Source organism: Homo sapiens, chromosome 1, assembly GCF_000001405.40.
Source record: "Homo sapiens chromosome 1, GRCh38.p14 Primary Assembly".
Classification (NCBI taxonomy): Eukaryota; Metazoa; Chordata; class Mammalia; order Primates; family Hominidae; genus Homo; species Homo sapiens.
Window position 1 is genome coordinate 143,295,291 of NC_000001.11, and position 16,115 is coordinate 143,311,405.

The following is a 16,115-nucleotide window of genomic DNA, read 5'->3' on the forward strand; positions in this document are numbered from 1 at the left end:
CCCCATTTCATGTACACTAAAAACAACATTTCTTACAATGGTCTGCAAGCCCATCATCATCTGCCTCATGTTAACCGCCAAAGTTCTTTTATATCTTCACCCTTGATCTTACCAGTGGTCCTGGCCACCTCACTGTCCTCTGGACATACCAACATGCTGCTGCCTTATGATCAAGACTCTAGTTAATTTTTTGGCTTGGAAAGATAGCCCTCCATATATCCATTGATCAGCTCATTCAACTTCCTCAGGTCTTTACTGAAACTTCACATTCTCGATGAGGCCTATTCAGTATTTCAAACTGCATCCCAGCTGCAACATTCCAAAACCCCTTACTCTTCTGTGTATTTTTGAAAGGATTTATTGAGATATAATTTACATAGTGTAGAGTGCACACATTAATGTCTACAAGTCAGTGGCTTTTAGTATATGCACAGATAAGTGGAGCCACCATCACAATGAATTTTAGAGCATTTTCATCACTTCAAAAAGAAACCCCACCTTCCCTAGCTGTTAACCTCCTATGCACCCATCCCCTACTCAATCCTAAGCAACCACAAATCTGTTTTCTGTCTCTATAGATTTTCCTATTCTGTTTTCATCTAAATAGAATCGTACAATAGGTGGCCTTTTCTGCCCGGCTTCGTTCAGTTGGCATAATGCTATCAAGGTTCATGTACGTATTGGTACTTTATTTCTTTTTATAACTGTATAACATTCAATTTCATGGATATAACCTTTTGTTTATCCAATAATATTTTTATTGACATTTGAGTTGTGTTCAGCCTTTGGCTATTTTAGGTACTGCTGCTAAAAATACTTGTGTACAATTTGTGTTTGAACACCTCTTTCCAATAATCTGGGTGTATACCTAGGAATAACTTTCTGGGTCATATGACAATTCTATGTTTCATATATTTAGAAGCCATCAAATTATTTTCCAAAGTGGCCAGTTCTAGCCATAGAGTATCTAACTGTGGTTTTGATTTGTAGTTGCCTGAAGAGTGATGCTGTTGAGTATATTTTTATGGGATTATTGACCGTTCATGTATCTTCTTGGGAAACACATCTATTCCTATCATTTATCAGTTTTGAGTTGGGATATTTGTGACGGAGTTAAACCAATTTTTCTATATTCAAGATACATATATATATACAGACATATAGATACGTGTTTTTCAAATATCTTCTCACAATTTTGGAGCTGCCTTTTGACTTGCTTGGTTGTCCTCTGAAACACCGATGTCTTTAATTTTTAAGAAATTTTAAATATCTAATTTTTATTCTGTTGCTCATGTTTTTGGGGTTACAGCTATTTCTTTGCTAGATCCAAAATCCTGAAGATTTTCCCATATGCTTTATTCTACCTCTTGCATGTGTGTCTTTAATTCATTTGAGTTAATATTTTTGTATGCTTTGGGGTAAGGGTTCTAATTTATTATTTTGCAAGTGGTGATCCACGTGTACGTTGTTGACCCAGTGTGTTCAAAGACTGTCTCTTCCTCATTGAATTGCACATGGCACCACTTTAAGAATCCATTGACTGTAGACACATAGTTTTATATATGGACTCTCAATTCTCTTCCATCAATCTATATATTTTTCCTTCATCAATATTGTGTTGTCTTGATTACTGATACTTTGCAGTAAGGTTTGGAGCATGGGGTGTGAATTATCCTAATATGTTTTCTTTCTTCAAGATTATTTTGGCTATTTTGAGACCCTTACAATTTCATGTGTATTTTAGAATCAGCTTGTCAGTTTCTAGACACAAGTCTGTTGGGATACTTGCAGGGATTTCATCAAATCTGTAGTTCAAATTGTAAAGTACTACAATATCAAATCGTCCAATTCATGGGTGTAAGGTGTTTACTAATTATTTAAATATTCTTTAAACAATAATTTTTAATTTTCAGAGTAAAATCTTGTATCACATTTTCCAAATTAATTAATGTTTCTTTTTTTATGCTATTTTAAATTGAAGTGTTTTCTTAAATTCATTTTGGGGTTTTCATTGAAGATGTGTGTAATTGATTTTTGTACATTTACCTTGTCTGCTGTAATATTGCTGAAATAATTTACGAGTTCTATCGTTCGGTGGATTCCTTAAAATTTTCTATATACAACAATGTTATTTTCAAATAAAGTTTTATTTCTTCCTGTTCAATATGGGTGACTCTTATTATTTTAGTTGCCGATTTGCCCTGCATAAAATCTTTAGTACAGTGTTGACTAGAAGAGGTCAAAGTATATATCCTATTCTTATCTCTGACCATAGCGGGAAAGCATCCTTTACCATTAAGTTGCCTGCTTGCTGTTGGCTTTTCACAGGTGCCATGTATCTGGTGTAGAAAGTTCTCTATTCCTGGTTCATTGAGTTTTTATTTTTATTTTTAATCATTAAAGCATTTGGATTCTGTTAAATGTGTTTTCCGAATCTATCGAGATGATCATGAATTCTCTTTTCTTATTCTATGGATAAGATGTATTACCTTAATGGATTTTGGGCTGTTAAACCAACCTGGGATTACTTGTATAAATTTCACTTTGTCATAGTGTATAATTCTTTTATATGTTGCTAGATCTGATTTGTTAGTATTTTTTAAGGAATTTTGCATTTATACTTATAATAGTTTTATTTTTCTATGCTATTTGGACTAATTTTTGTATCAAAGTAACACTGGCCCCACAGAATAAATTGGAAAGTGAATATTTCTCTTTTTTAAAAAAGCTAGTCAAGAATTAATATCAATTATTCAACACTAACAAATATTATTATTATAAATTATTAATTTCTCTAATTTTAATTTTCTTCCTTCTGCTTGCTTTAGGTTTAGTTTGCTATTCGTTCCAGTGCCTTAATGTGGAACGTCATCTTATCTCATCCTTTCATTTGTCTTTTCATTTTGTAAATAGTGTCTTCTTAGCATCAGGTGAGCTCCCCAGGTTGGTAGTACTCCATGTTTGTTGCTGTACAACAATGACAGGTAATATGTCCTGAAGACAATGGAAACTTAACCTTCAAAATCTCCTAGATTCCACCTTATATGATATGTCTCTTCTATTGGTCCTAATTTCTACCCTTTCTCTATTATAAACCATGAGTACAATGGCATTCAATGAGTTCTGTGAGTCTTTCTAGTAAATTCTTGAAACTGAGGGTGTTCAGGGGAAATCCCTGAACTGGCAGTTGGTGTCAGAAGTGAGAATCTTCTTACATGGCCTCTTCCTTTGAACTGTGCAGCTGGACGCAAACTCTGCACAATTTGGGCCAGAACTCTCGTGTTGACTTTGTAGCCTAAAGTATCTTGTAGTTTGTCTAACCCTCAATAAATTTGCTTTCATCAAATATTGTATTTGTTACCCCAAAATTACCATCACGTTTTTTTTTCTCCAAATAACTAACATAGGAGAAATAGCCAGCTGAGTTTGTAACTCAACAGAAATAAGTGATCCATATACCATATACCATATAAGTGGCCATTTCATTTTGCCTTCTTCCACCAAATCTTAGCAACCTCAACCATTACCAAGAGCCACTGTAGGCCTACCAGCTACAAACAAACGAGTATCTTGTAAAAACACTTCATACTCCCATTTGATAATTTTCCCAGCAAAGAGATGCCTACTTTAACTCTATGCAAGTGGCTCATATTCACGAAGTCTGTAGATATTATTCATGTAGAGTGAGAAAATCATCCCAGCGGTGCCAGCACATTCTCCTTCCCATGATCTGCTTAGTTTGCAAACATATTCAGGCCATGGGTGAGAGATTTGTATTTCACAGTACAACAATTTTATGGAGGGCATTGAAACTTACATTGAGCATTTTAGTACAGTCACACATCACTGAATGATAGGGATACGTTTTAACAGATGTATTCGTAGGCAATTTTACCATTTTGCAAACATCACAGAGAGTATTACAAACACCTAGATTGTACAGCCTACCACGTTTAGGTTATATGGTATAGCCTCTTTCTCCCAGGCTACAAATCTGTGCACTACATTACTGTACTGAATACTGCAGGCAATAAGAACACAGTGGTAAGAGGTTATGTATCTAAACATAATTAAACGTAGAAAAGTATGTAAAAATATCTATTATAATCTCATGGGACCACTTTTGTATATGTAATCCATCTTTGACTAAAATGTTATTATGCATGACATGACTCTATGACAAAAATAAAATAACACATTGTAAAAAAATATACACAGGTATCAAACATATTAATATTGTAAAAATAAAAATATTTATTCAGTGTAAGAATTTGTAATGATCACAAAATGTTCACAGCTTATATTTTAGTACAGTTTCAAATGCCTAGTGCAATTGCTATTTATTTCTGTGTGTATTTTAAACATGTATATAATAAATATTTTTCAGGTTCAACAATATATATCAATCCAACTGGCTCTTATAAATATTAGTTAACATCAATTGGTAAATTCATATATATATATACACACACGTGACTCAGTCTGTATGCGTGTATGTGTGTGTAAATGTAACTGTATGTGTGTGTAAATGTAACTGGATGCATCCTAATATTTACCCTTACCTACAAGATTTCCAAGACTCATTTATTCTCTTTAAATGGTGTGCCTTGAAAGATTTACCAAATAAAACCGCAATCGTGGAATATATCAAGATGTTATTAAATTCATCTTGTGCACATAATTGTTTCTTTAAATTTATGTTTCTTGCAAAACTTGCGGTAATGCTCATGCACAAAATAATTTTCTAAATAAAAAATAAAAACATTTTCTCAGTCATTAATTCTTAAAAAGTATTTCTCCCCAGTAATTAATGTGAATTAATTCTTAATTCTTAATTATAGAATAATGTTGCCCTTCAGAGTTCTGAATCTTTTGCACGTTGTATACATTTCACTGACTGGAACATCTTCTGGAATATTGGCATTAATTAATCTCACTCAGCAATTAATGATTTCAAAGAAATTAAATACCATTCATATTCTGAATCACAAGGGTACTTTGGCACCTAATTTAATCAAGCTCTTTGTATCATCATCTACAGTTTAATTACTTAACAAACATTTCTTTGTGTGAGAAAGATTGAGCAGGTTATTGTGCTTTTCGTTGTATACATTTCACTAAGTAGAACATCTTCTGGAATATTGGCATTAATTAATCTCACTCAGCAATTAATGATTTCAAAGAAATTAAATACCATTCATATTCTGAATCACAAGGGTACTTTGGCATCTAATTTAATCAAGCTCTTTGTATCATCATCTACACTTTAATTACTTAACAAACATTTCTCTGTGTGAGAAAGATTGAGCAGGTTATTGTGCTTTTTTATGATGCAACTTTTGCTTAATCTAGAGATAGGCAATGCTCCCTATAAGGGACAAAGAGAAAAATGAAAGAGCAATAGAGATGTGACAGGCATGGAAAAAGACAACACATTTATAAAACAAATAGGGCCACAGATGATGATAATGGGGATCAAATCTTGAGATACTGACTCAGTTTATAACCGCACTGTACAATAGAGCAAATCATTTGTTAATTATTTTACAAATGGAATCTAATTTAACTAAGATGAATACAGTGTTTTAAACAAGGCAGGTCATCTTAAAATAAAATAGTGGGAAAAGTGATAAAACCAATGTAAAAATCATAAACATTTTATAAAGAATTTTTGTCATGTAATTTAATATTTTTCTTTATTTAAAATCACCCAAATCAAAATAATTTTATCTTAATTAACAAATAATCATCGGAAGTTAACTAATTTTTACTTTATAATACTAGGTTTAAAAATTCTTCACTATATTTTTAATCATACATGCTTATACATAAAATAGACATAGGGTATATGTTTACATGTTCACAATATTATATTGTAATTGTTCCTATGGATGTGGTTTTTCAATAGAATTAATAAGTACTTTTAAAAAGTTTCAATTTCAATGATATATATGTTTGATTTTTCTTTGACAAAGCATACATATATTGATAGGTAATAATAAGAAAATCTTCTAAAGACATTACAGGAACATGAATAAGTAATTAAATCCTCAATAATTTGTAACGTTTTATGTAAGCGGAACACATTTAACTGAAAATTGCTTTTATATAATACTCAAACGAGACTAAAAACATATTAACTAGCGGAGTAAGTCTTCAAATTGATAATCTGAACTATAGAAGAGGAGAAACTTCAAGCACTCAAATATTTGAAATGCTACAAAATATTTATATAAACTATTATTTAACAATTTCTGTTTGTAGAGTGCTATAGAGTAATCCATATAAATGACATCTCCGTCTTTCTATAGCTTTGACCACATTTACCTCCTAATTTTAATTATTAATATGTTGGAGCAGTGCATACAACTAGATTCCGATCTTCCTTTTTAATGAGTAAAAATATGTCCTTTGAGACAGCATTAAAGAAAGAGCACCTTGTATAAATTCAATGCCAAGAGACAAGATATTCTTGATGCTGAAGTCTTGTTCTTTTATACAGCAATGTAATTAATAAGAAGAAGAAAAGCAGGACATAGAGATGGAGTCTATTTTCATCAAAAATTGTCTATAGATTTTGATGATAAAATTTAAAACTCTACTATATTTAGTTAGTCACAAAAAACGAGGTTGTGGGAACATATTTGGTCAATAAAACACCCCTACCAAATGCCGACAAGAAAAAAAGTTAGGTACCACCTTTCTTCTCTGCAGATGGCCTGAGATGGGTTAATTTGAAAGAATGCTTCCAAACCTGAGGTGACCCCTGAGAACAGCATAATCCACTGCTGTCTCCCACATTCAGTTTCTCAGTCTGTGCTCTTTTAATTTTGGGGGGAGGGAAGCCAGTCCTTTAAAGCGATCTTCAGCATGATGGCAGAGCCAAGGAGTGTGGACAGGTGGCACGGTGTCTGATTTTGTTCCAGCAGCCACTTGGGCTTTCTCTGGGTCTTCTCTGCCCTCGGGATAGCACTACTATTGAAAACATGTCTTTGTGACATTCTCTATGCCAGGAACTCCCAACATATTTTCCTTGAAACTGATGAAATGAAAAAAAATAAACCAAGAGGTGTGCTGTTTGTTTCTGTTTCCTCCTTTCTGCAGCCCTTCTTGATCATCTAATATTTTTAAATACATTGTCGATCACCAAAAGGAGCATAAGGGCTTTATTGGTTTGTAGCAGATGTATTCATAGCCCAGCCCCTATTCCTTAGCTGTAGCTGCTGGGAAGAAAACCATTCTTAACACTCTACAAGGTCTCATCTCCAGAATTTGCACCAGTTTCTAGCTGAGGACTTTCTCTAGCAGCACGGGAGCTTGTTACTGGGCATGAAGTGGGAAGAAAAGGTGAGGGTAACTAAGAAGAATCTCCCTGGATTCAGTGATGTAATTCTGAGGCATGCTCCACATAGCTTCCCATAAAATTAAGCCCAGATATCTAACACAGGAACTTACCTCTTAACACGTGTGGTATTGGCTTTTCTGTCTTTCCTGTTTTATTTTGTTCTCTTTTCCTTGTCTCACTTTCGCTGTGTCCTCACTCCTGCTTTAAGAATACCCAAACAAATACGTTCATTTATTTTTTTAGACTCTCAGAACACAGTTGATAGTTGAACTTGTAATCTATGATAATCAGCTTGGATGCTGTATTGACAGGAAGATGGTGAACTCACAATGTCTAATTAAGATACAATTTAAAAAATATATTGAATCATGTCCAAAGACTTAAAAAGCCTAAGCGGCAGCGTCACAGTTTCTTCTTTTTAGTTTGCATGGTTTCTTAAATGCCTACAATTATTTTAAAGGAAGCCTTGAGTCTAGGAAAAATTGAGACATATGGAATAAATTACTAACCCATTTCTCCTTGAAATCCATTAGATGTTTGATGATTCTTCACATATATTTCTGAACTGAAAAGCTAGTTGGGAATTATTTTTATAAGCATATCCTTATGTAATATATTGTTTCTAAGAGTGAATGGAAGGTTTAAAGATTAAATTATTCTATCCAGAGAATAAAAAACAATTATTTCACAAGGAGAACATGTGTATGTTGACACGACATTTTAAAATCTAGATTTTAAAATAGGTCCCATATAATTTTGAGTCAATTAGAATACGTTTGTATCAGTCTGTCTACAGTTTTACACCTGTCAAATGTTACTTGAACTAAAAGAAGTACCTTGAACAATTTTGAAATTTATTATTCCTCTGAAACTGATGAAAAGAATGACGGTAGAGTGAAATTTGGATTGGCATAATTTAGGAGAGAAATTATTCCTTGGAGATCAACCTCTGCCAAGATAGTTTACAATGACATTGATACTTTTTGATTTACACAATTTGTTATATAAAAAATACTAAGACGATGACAGATAATACACAGACTTTAATTAAAATTGTACTAAAATTAAAAGTCTAAATAAATTACAAGTGTACGTGGTACACCTAAACGTATGTTTATATATTTTATTTGTGCATTTTATTCCTAGGGTTCCTTTTGCTTTAGTTTGTAAAACGTTCTTATTTTTATGGCAGTGTAGTATATACTAAATAAAGAAAAATCAGGAAATAGAAAATGAAGAAGAAAACATTAGCTATTGTCAACCAAATAAAAATTGTGCAATCTCTAAGTACATGAACGATGTATTATTTGTACAGCATGTACAATGTTTATGCTTCACAGGGTGAGGTAGAGACTGCAAAACATTGAACCTGGGACAAATAAGAAAGAAAGGAAATTTTCACAATATATTAATATTACAGAAAATGTTGAACTTAACAGTTAAGATACAAGTAGTGAAAAATGATAGTATTTAAGGAGATCTAGAAAATGTCATCCATACCAGTAATGTGTGAGAAGTATTAGAATAATGCTTGTATTTCTGGATTGGCATCGATTTCTATTGAGACTGGAAACATACTAGAAGTGAGCAAAAAAGAATTTAAATAGTGGATACTTGAGTTTTATACCTAGGAGTTCGAGAAATACATTTTGTTACTATCAAAGCAGTTGGCACAAGAGTGTACAAAATTCCCTAATTGTGTCTATGTGGTGAAGACATAGACAAACAGAAAATAGCAAAACAGAAATAGCAAAAAAGCACAAATAAATTTTACCTGTATTTTTACGTAAAAGCCAATTAGAGTAGGAAAACATGAAATTTGTGTTTTATCGAAATTTTTCTCTTATAGTATGGTTGATTATATTACTGGAAAAAAATTGAAGCATTGGTATGTTCACAAAAAAAAGTAAAAGATAAGGTCAAAACCATGGGAATGCAGGGAGCAGACAAAATACACCTAAACACTGATACTGATTTTGCCCTACGGACATGTAGCAAAATGAATGAGTGCAGATTCCTATGGTCATACATCACATAGGACAGTAAAGAAATACATAGTGTTTCCCAAGATAGGGCATCACACAGGAGCTCTTCCCTAAAGCTAGCACCAAAATTTATCTCCTCAGTATAAAGAAGAATCAGAGGTAAATTAGTCTCATTTCACATTCCCTGGAAATGGCAAATAAAAATGACTTGAGATTGGACAGATTTAAAGAAACTCAATCATTAATGATTTACAGCAATTAATTTAAAAATTGTTTAAATGTGCTGTCCAAACATACGTCCAAACACCTTTAGGCCAAGAATTAATATAATGTGGTCCCAGAATGGTGGTGCCTTTAGTAGACTCACAAAAAATTCAAATTCTCTTTGGCAAATTTTCTTCTTACTAATATGCAAAAGTGCACAATAATAATTTTCAGAGAAAAATAAATCTTTGTCATTCAAAGGCATCTAAGTACGCAAGGAAATGATATTCCACCATTTGAAAGGAAAGCAGAAAAAGAGTACAAACAGATCCACAGAGGTTCATTAGTAGAAATATCACTGTTAGATTATAAAGCACATTTGCTTTCAAAAAATTTAAAAAAAGGAATATATTTTTAGGAGACTAAAAAGTTGATGTAGTAAATTTGAAAAGTAGTTTGTATATAGTATTTTAAATTAAAAACTCAAAAATGAACTCATCAGATTAGACATGGCCATGGTGAGAGCTCATAAATATTTCAGAATGCATTACAGAAAATTTAAAAAAAGGCACAATGTGGACAGAATCATGAAGAGACATGGAAGATACAGTGAGAAAGTGTAGCATGTGTTTAGTGAGTGTTCTCATAGAGGAAGGGAACGGGGAAGGGACAATATGTGATGGTATTTTGGCTGAAAGTTCTCTAGAGTTCTGTAAGACACTAATCCACATATTCAAAACTTCTATGCATGCTAAGCAAGCTACGATGGAGATAAACCTACATCTACATATCTCCTAGAGAAATAGTAAACAATCAGGAAGGGAAAAATATTTCAATTAGCACTAGAAAAATCAAATTACCTTTAATCATATTGAAATCTGAAAGCATGAAAGGTAAAATAAACAATATTATTTGTTAAGAATAATAATGCCATTCTGAAATTCTCAACCAAGAAAAATATTCATCAACCTATGGCTAAATCACATATTTAGAGACAAAAAACAAAATACCACCAGCAGAATTCCACTAAAGAAACTCAAAGGAAACTCTGAAAACACGCTTCAGAAAGATTGAAGTTCTGAAATCAAAGAATGAACACAGAGCAAAATATATTGTAAACATAAAGATAGATCAAAATAGAAAATTAGGTGTTGAAACAAAAGAATATTTAAAATTAGATAAGCACTGCAATATGTATGTTAGGAAGCAAATTATTAGGGCTGAAGTATTCAAAGACCCCTTAATTGTCTGACAAGAGCAGAAAGATATGACTTTGCAACTCTTTTTTTTTTTTTTTTTTGAGAAGGAGTCTCATTCACCCTTTCTCCCAGGCTGGAGTATGGTGGCGTCATCTCTGCTCACTGCAACCTCTGCCTCCCAGGTTCAAGCAATTCTCCTGCCTCAGCCTCCTGAGTAGCGGGGATTACAGCCGCGTGCCACCCTGCCTGGCTAATTTTTGTATTTTTAGTAGAGACGGGGTTTCACCATGTTGATCAGGCTAGTCTCCAACTCCTGACCTCGTGATCCACACGCCTCGGCCTCCCGAAGTGTTGAGATTACAGGCGTGAGCCACTGCGCGCGACCGACTTTGGAACTTTAATAAATTGACTGGACATTATGCATTTCTCTGTTGTATCTATGAAAACAATAAAAATAAAAGTCATAATTTTAAAACAAGAAGACAGAAAGTGATAGGAGAAAATGAGACATTATATATATATATATATATACACAACAAATTACTAATACAAAATTAAGTATAAATGATCAAAGATTAACTTAAACCTAAGTAGACAATGTTTTTGTTAAAATACAAAGATTGGCAAAATTTAAAACATCCGTCTCTATCATAGTTACAAGAGACACAACTAATATATAAATTTACAGAAACTTTGAAGTTCAAACAATACAGATACTGTGTATATATGATATACATACAAACATACTACATGAATATAATTTTTTAAAAAGTTGCTATGTAGACCAAATAGAATGTAAGTTAGAAACATTTATTAAAATAAGTTAGTGTAACCAGTGTGATAAAAGTTTTAAGTTATTAAGAAGATGTGATGACTTCAATGTGTATTAGCCTGATACATACATATATATACACACAAACCACACACTCTCTCTCACACACACAGACACACACGTATTTAGAGAGAGAGTCAAATTATATAAAGCAAAAATATCAGAAAGTAAGTAGAAATGGATAAGCCCCCAAATATTATAGACATTTCAAACACACGTCTTTCAGTAATAGATAAAAGAAAAAATTAAAAGAGTAAGTTTTAAAAGAAGCTAGTGGATTTTAAAACGGGCAAATATTATATAAGGAACTTGAATATTATAATTCATGTTATTTTCATGTTCATACAGAATACTTACAAAAATTAACATTTTCTAGACCATACCACAAATTCAAACAATTTTCACGGAAATAACGTGACACAGAATATATGTCCTAAACAAACAGCAATGAAGGCAGATATCAATACAAAAACGAAAGTTAGAAACATAAGTGTAATAATATTGGTTGGAAGCCATTTTATTGAATATTGAAATATTTTAAAGGTGAATAGTCACTACAAATAAACCAAACACTTTTGTGAGGCCACTAAGATGCATGTGTAATGTGTAATGCCTCCTTTTATAAGGAGTAAATCTGTAACATCACCTGGGCTATTTGACAACTGCAAAGTGAATGTGAGAAGGAGAGAAACAGTGAGAGAGAGAGAGATAAAAGCAGTAAAATAAACATAAAGAATGAAGGAGATAGCCAGGCGCCATTGTTCACGCCTGTAATCCCAGCACTTTGGGAGGCCGAGGCAGGTGGGTCACCTGAGGTCAGGAGTTCGAGACCAGCCTGGTCTAACATGGTGAAACCCACTCTCTACTAAATATACAAAAATTAGCCTGGCATGGTGGCATGCATCTGTAACCCCAGCTACTCGGGAGGCTGAGGTGGGAGAATTGCTTGAACGTGGGGGCTGGAAGTTGCAGTGAGTAGAGATCACGCGACTGCACTCCAGCTTGGGCGACAGAGCAAGACTCCGTGTCAGAAAAAAAAAAAAACAAAAAACAAGAAAGAAAAAAACGAGGAAATAGTACACGAAAAAGCAGAATTAAAGCAACTGGGTATATATTTAAAAATGCAAAAGCTCACTTTTTCAGAAAAATATTAAAATATTAAATCTAACAAATATCTAGGTAGACTGATGGAGAAAAATACAGAAAATGCACAAAAAAGCAATTACCTGGAATGCGAACGTTACAAAACGTCAGCAGTTGTAGATTTTAAATAAGCAATGATTTTTGAGTTCAACCATGATGGGGTATATTGAAAAGAATCTCTCAGAAAAAAAGAAAAAGAAAACTGTTATAAAGCTATGTACAAAATGTTAAGCACTATTAAAGTCTTCCAAATCTACCAGTTACGGAGTTATTGGTCTTGGACTAAGACTCCTGAAAAGAAAAAAAACAAACAAAATAAGACAATACCTAAAAACCTGGATAAAATGGCCTACCGTGGGCACTGGCAATGCATCCAAGCAGGTAGGACCTGGGTGCTACATTCTCTTTGTCAGAACACAAAGCATTCATACACTCTTCTCACCCTCACTTTCACCTTTTAATCTTTGATCTACTATTAAATGTATTCAACATTACTATCAATCCTTTGCTCAAAATTTCTTTACTCACATTTTGCTTGATGCACTTGGATAGACTGTTCAAGAAAGTGTGAGTAGTGAATTCCTCAAACTCTTGCATATTCAAAATCACATTTTTGAACCTCGATGCTTGAAGTGTAGCTTGGGTAACAGATGGGCTTTAAGCCAATTTTGGCATGCAAGGGGTTGAGTTTATTAGGCATCAGCACCGCTGAAAATCGTGGGGATGCAGGCTTAATTTCAACACTATTCTAAATACTTGAAAGATATTATATAAGTCTTTAATAAACTCCTGTGTCTACAAATGGTTCACATTAACTCAATATCCATGATGAAACATCTATAAAATCAAGGCACTGTTATTTAGTGGAGACTTGCTGGCTATTCTATGAGAGGAGGTATTGTTATTGTAATCTCATCATCTCATAAAATTGTATCACATTACTCATAACCAGCCCTTCATATTCTATTCCTATTTTGGTATTTTAAAATAAGACATCTTTGAAACTCTTGAATTCAAAGAGGGAATCTGAATAATTTTTAAAATGTCAATGAAATGCCATTTCTTCATGCTTCAACAACTAAAAATTGACTAAAGTGCTTCTCTTCAATCTTTCTGGGACATTTCTTATCTAAATTCTAAGAACAATCACAATAGGTTTTAACCACAAATGTGAGAATATTCTAAATGTTAGGGTGGAAAAAATTTTTAAATATTTTATAGTAATTTTTTTCATCATAGTGACAGTGTGCTAAATTTTTTTAAGCCAACTATTACTGTAGACATTTAAGTCAGGATTCTAAGAAGCTGTTCTAAAGTCCAAAATTCAGTTTCATATACACTGATATTATATATATATATTTGCTTAAAAAATTAATACATGTGAGCCGTGTTTCAAATAGTTGAGAGATTATTATATCAAAGATTCTTGATTATATAAAATGTCAATTACTTATAGGCAGACATGCTTTAAATAATTACTAAGGCAGTTGTGGTTGATTCTACTCTTGCTACTGGCATTTATATGGACATACTATTATGGTCTGAAGAATATTTAGGCAAATTTATCCCTCATATGATCAGAAGAACAATGCAAGATAGTTTATATCTGAAAGGAAAAAAATCTTTATATGGTTCTGAAAGCGTAAATCATTAACAACTTGGATAATAACTAGCATAAAAATACACAAACATGCCCTCTTCCTAGCAGTAAGTACACAGTGACAACAGAATCAAAGCATGTGGCTATGTGCATGTTTATATTTCAAGACGCAGAGCACTCTATTCCTCCTCTCTGCCCTTTCTAGATGGCACAATCCCTCATGAATCTAAGTGCAGTCATAGGGTGGATTAGGGTGACCTGCCATTTGTATGCAACTGATCTCTAGTTTGGAAGTAATTAATGTCAAAATATATTTTTAAAAGGTAATTTCAAATTTCAGGGCAAACTAGCATGGTTTCGCCCCTTTTCTTTGGAACATTTTTTCTAAGGTTGGAAAAGTAAGGTAGGCTTTAGTAAGATTTTAAATAATAAGTTTTCAAAGTGAGACGCAAAATGGTGGCGCCAACACATTTCAAATCTGCTACATTTTGAAGACACTTATTGGAGAAAAGACCTTCTCATCATTTTTCTCTTACAGGAAAGGAAATAACATGTACAGTTGACCCTTAAGCAACACGGAGGTTGGGGTGCTGGCCCCCCTGCACGGTAGAAAATCCACTATAACTTTGACTCCCCCAAAACTTAACTACTAATAGCCTACTGTAAGCCTGACAAATAACACAGTCAATTAACACATATTTAATATGTTATATGTCTTATATACTGTATTCTTAACAAACATGCCAGAGAAATGAAAAAAGAAAATCATAAGGAAAATAGATTTACTAGTTATTAAATGGAAGTAGATGATCAAACAGGTCTTCATCCTCATCTTTCTCATGGGCAGGATGTGGATAAGGATGTAGAATTGTTGGTTTTGCTAAGTGGACGTGCACAGTTCAAACCCCTGTGGTGCAAAGGCCAACTCTATAGCCATTGAATAGCAATTTATATTTAGAAATTAACCTCACTAAAATACTCTTAGAAAGATGCCCAGAATAAAAGTGAATAAGAATTTCTGGTTCATCTATTACATCATTTCATTTCATTATTTCATTTCTTTTCATCATTTCATTTCATTTCCTCATTTCATCCTTTCATTTCATCATTTCATCTCATTTCCTCATTTCATCCTTTCATTTCATCATTTCATCTCATTTCCTCATTTCATCATTTCATTTCATCCTTCCATTTCATCATTTCATCATTTCATCTTATCATTTCATCTCATTTTATCATTTCATTTCATTCTTTCATTTCATTCCATCATTTCATCTCAACATTTCATTTCATCATTTCACTTCATCTCATCATTTCATCATTTCATCTCATCATTTCATTTCATCTCACCATTTCATTTCATCTCATCATTTCATTTCATCTCATCATTTCATCTTTTCATCTCATCATTTCATCATTTCATTTCATCTTTTCATCTCATTTCATTTCATCAATTCATCATTTCATCTCATTTCATTTCACTTCATTTCATTGTTTCATTTCATCATTTCATTTCATCACTTCATCTCGACATTTGATTTCGTCATTTCACTTTATCTCATTTCATCTTTTCATCTCATGATTTCATTTCATCTCATTTCATTTCATCTCATTTCATTTCATCTCATCATTTCATTTCATCTTTTCATCTCATCATTTCATCATTTCATCTCATTTCATTTCATCATTTCATTTCATTTATTTCATCATTGCATCATTTGACTTCATGTCATCATTTCATCATTTCATATCATTTCATCATTTCATGTTTTCATTCAATCATTTCATCATTTCACTTATTCATTTC

At 32.8% G+C, this 16,115-nt stretch overlaps 1 long non-coding RNA gene across 3 annotated transcripts; it reads right to left on the reverse strand.

Annotated features, from left to right (window-relative positions):
- Positions 1 to 4,227: 4,227 nt before the first annotated feature.
- LOC101929814 (uncharacterized) lies at positions 4,228 to 13,666 on the reverse strand. 3 transcript variants are annotated; one of them, XR_426807.5, is made up of 5 exons: positions 12,792 to 13,666; positions 11,052 to 11,170; positions 8,846 to 8,922; positions 7,456 to 7,546; positions 4,228 to 7,039 (listed from the first exon to the last, which is right to left on the reverse strand). It is a non-coding gene; the product is annotated as an uncharacterized LOC101929814 (long non-coding RNA). The 3 variants fall into 3 exon arrangements; XR_001738205.2 differs by having other exon boundaries at positions 5,452 to 7,039; positions 7,456 to 7,543; XR_001738206.2 differs by lacking the exon at positions 8,846 to 8,922 and having other exon boundaries at positions 5,452 to 7,039; positions 7,456 to 7,543.
- Positions 13,667 to 16,115: the final 2,449 nt, after the last annotated feature.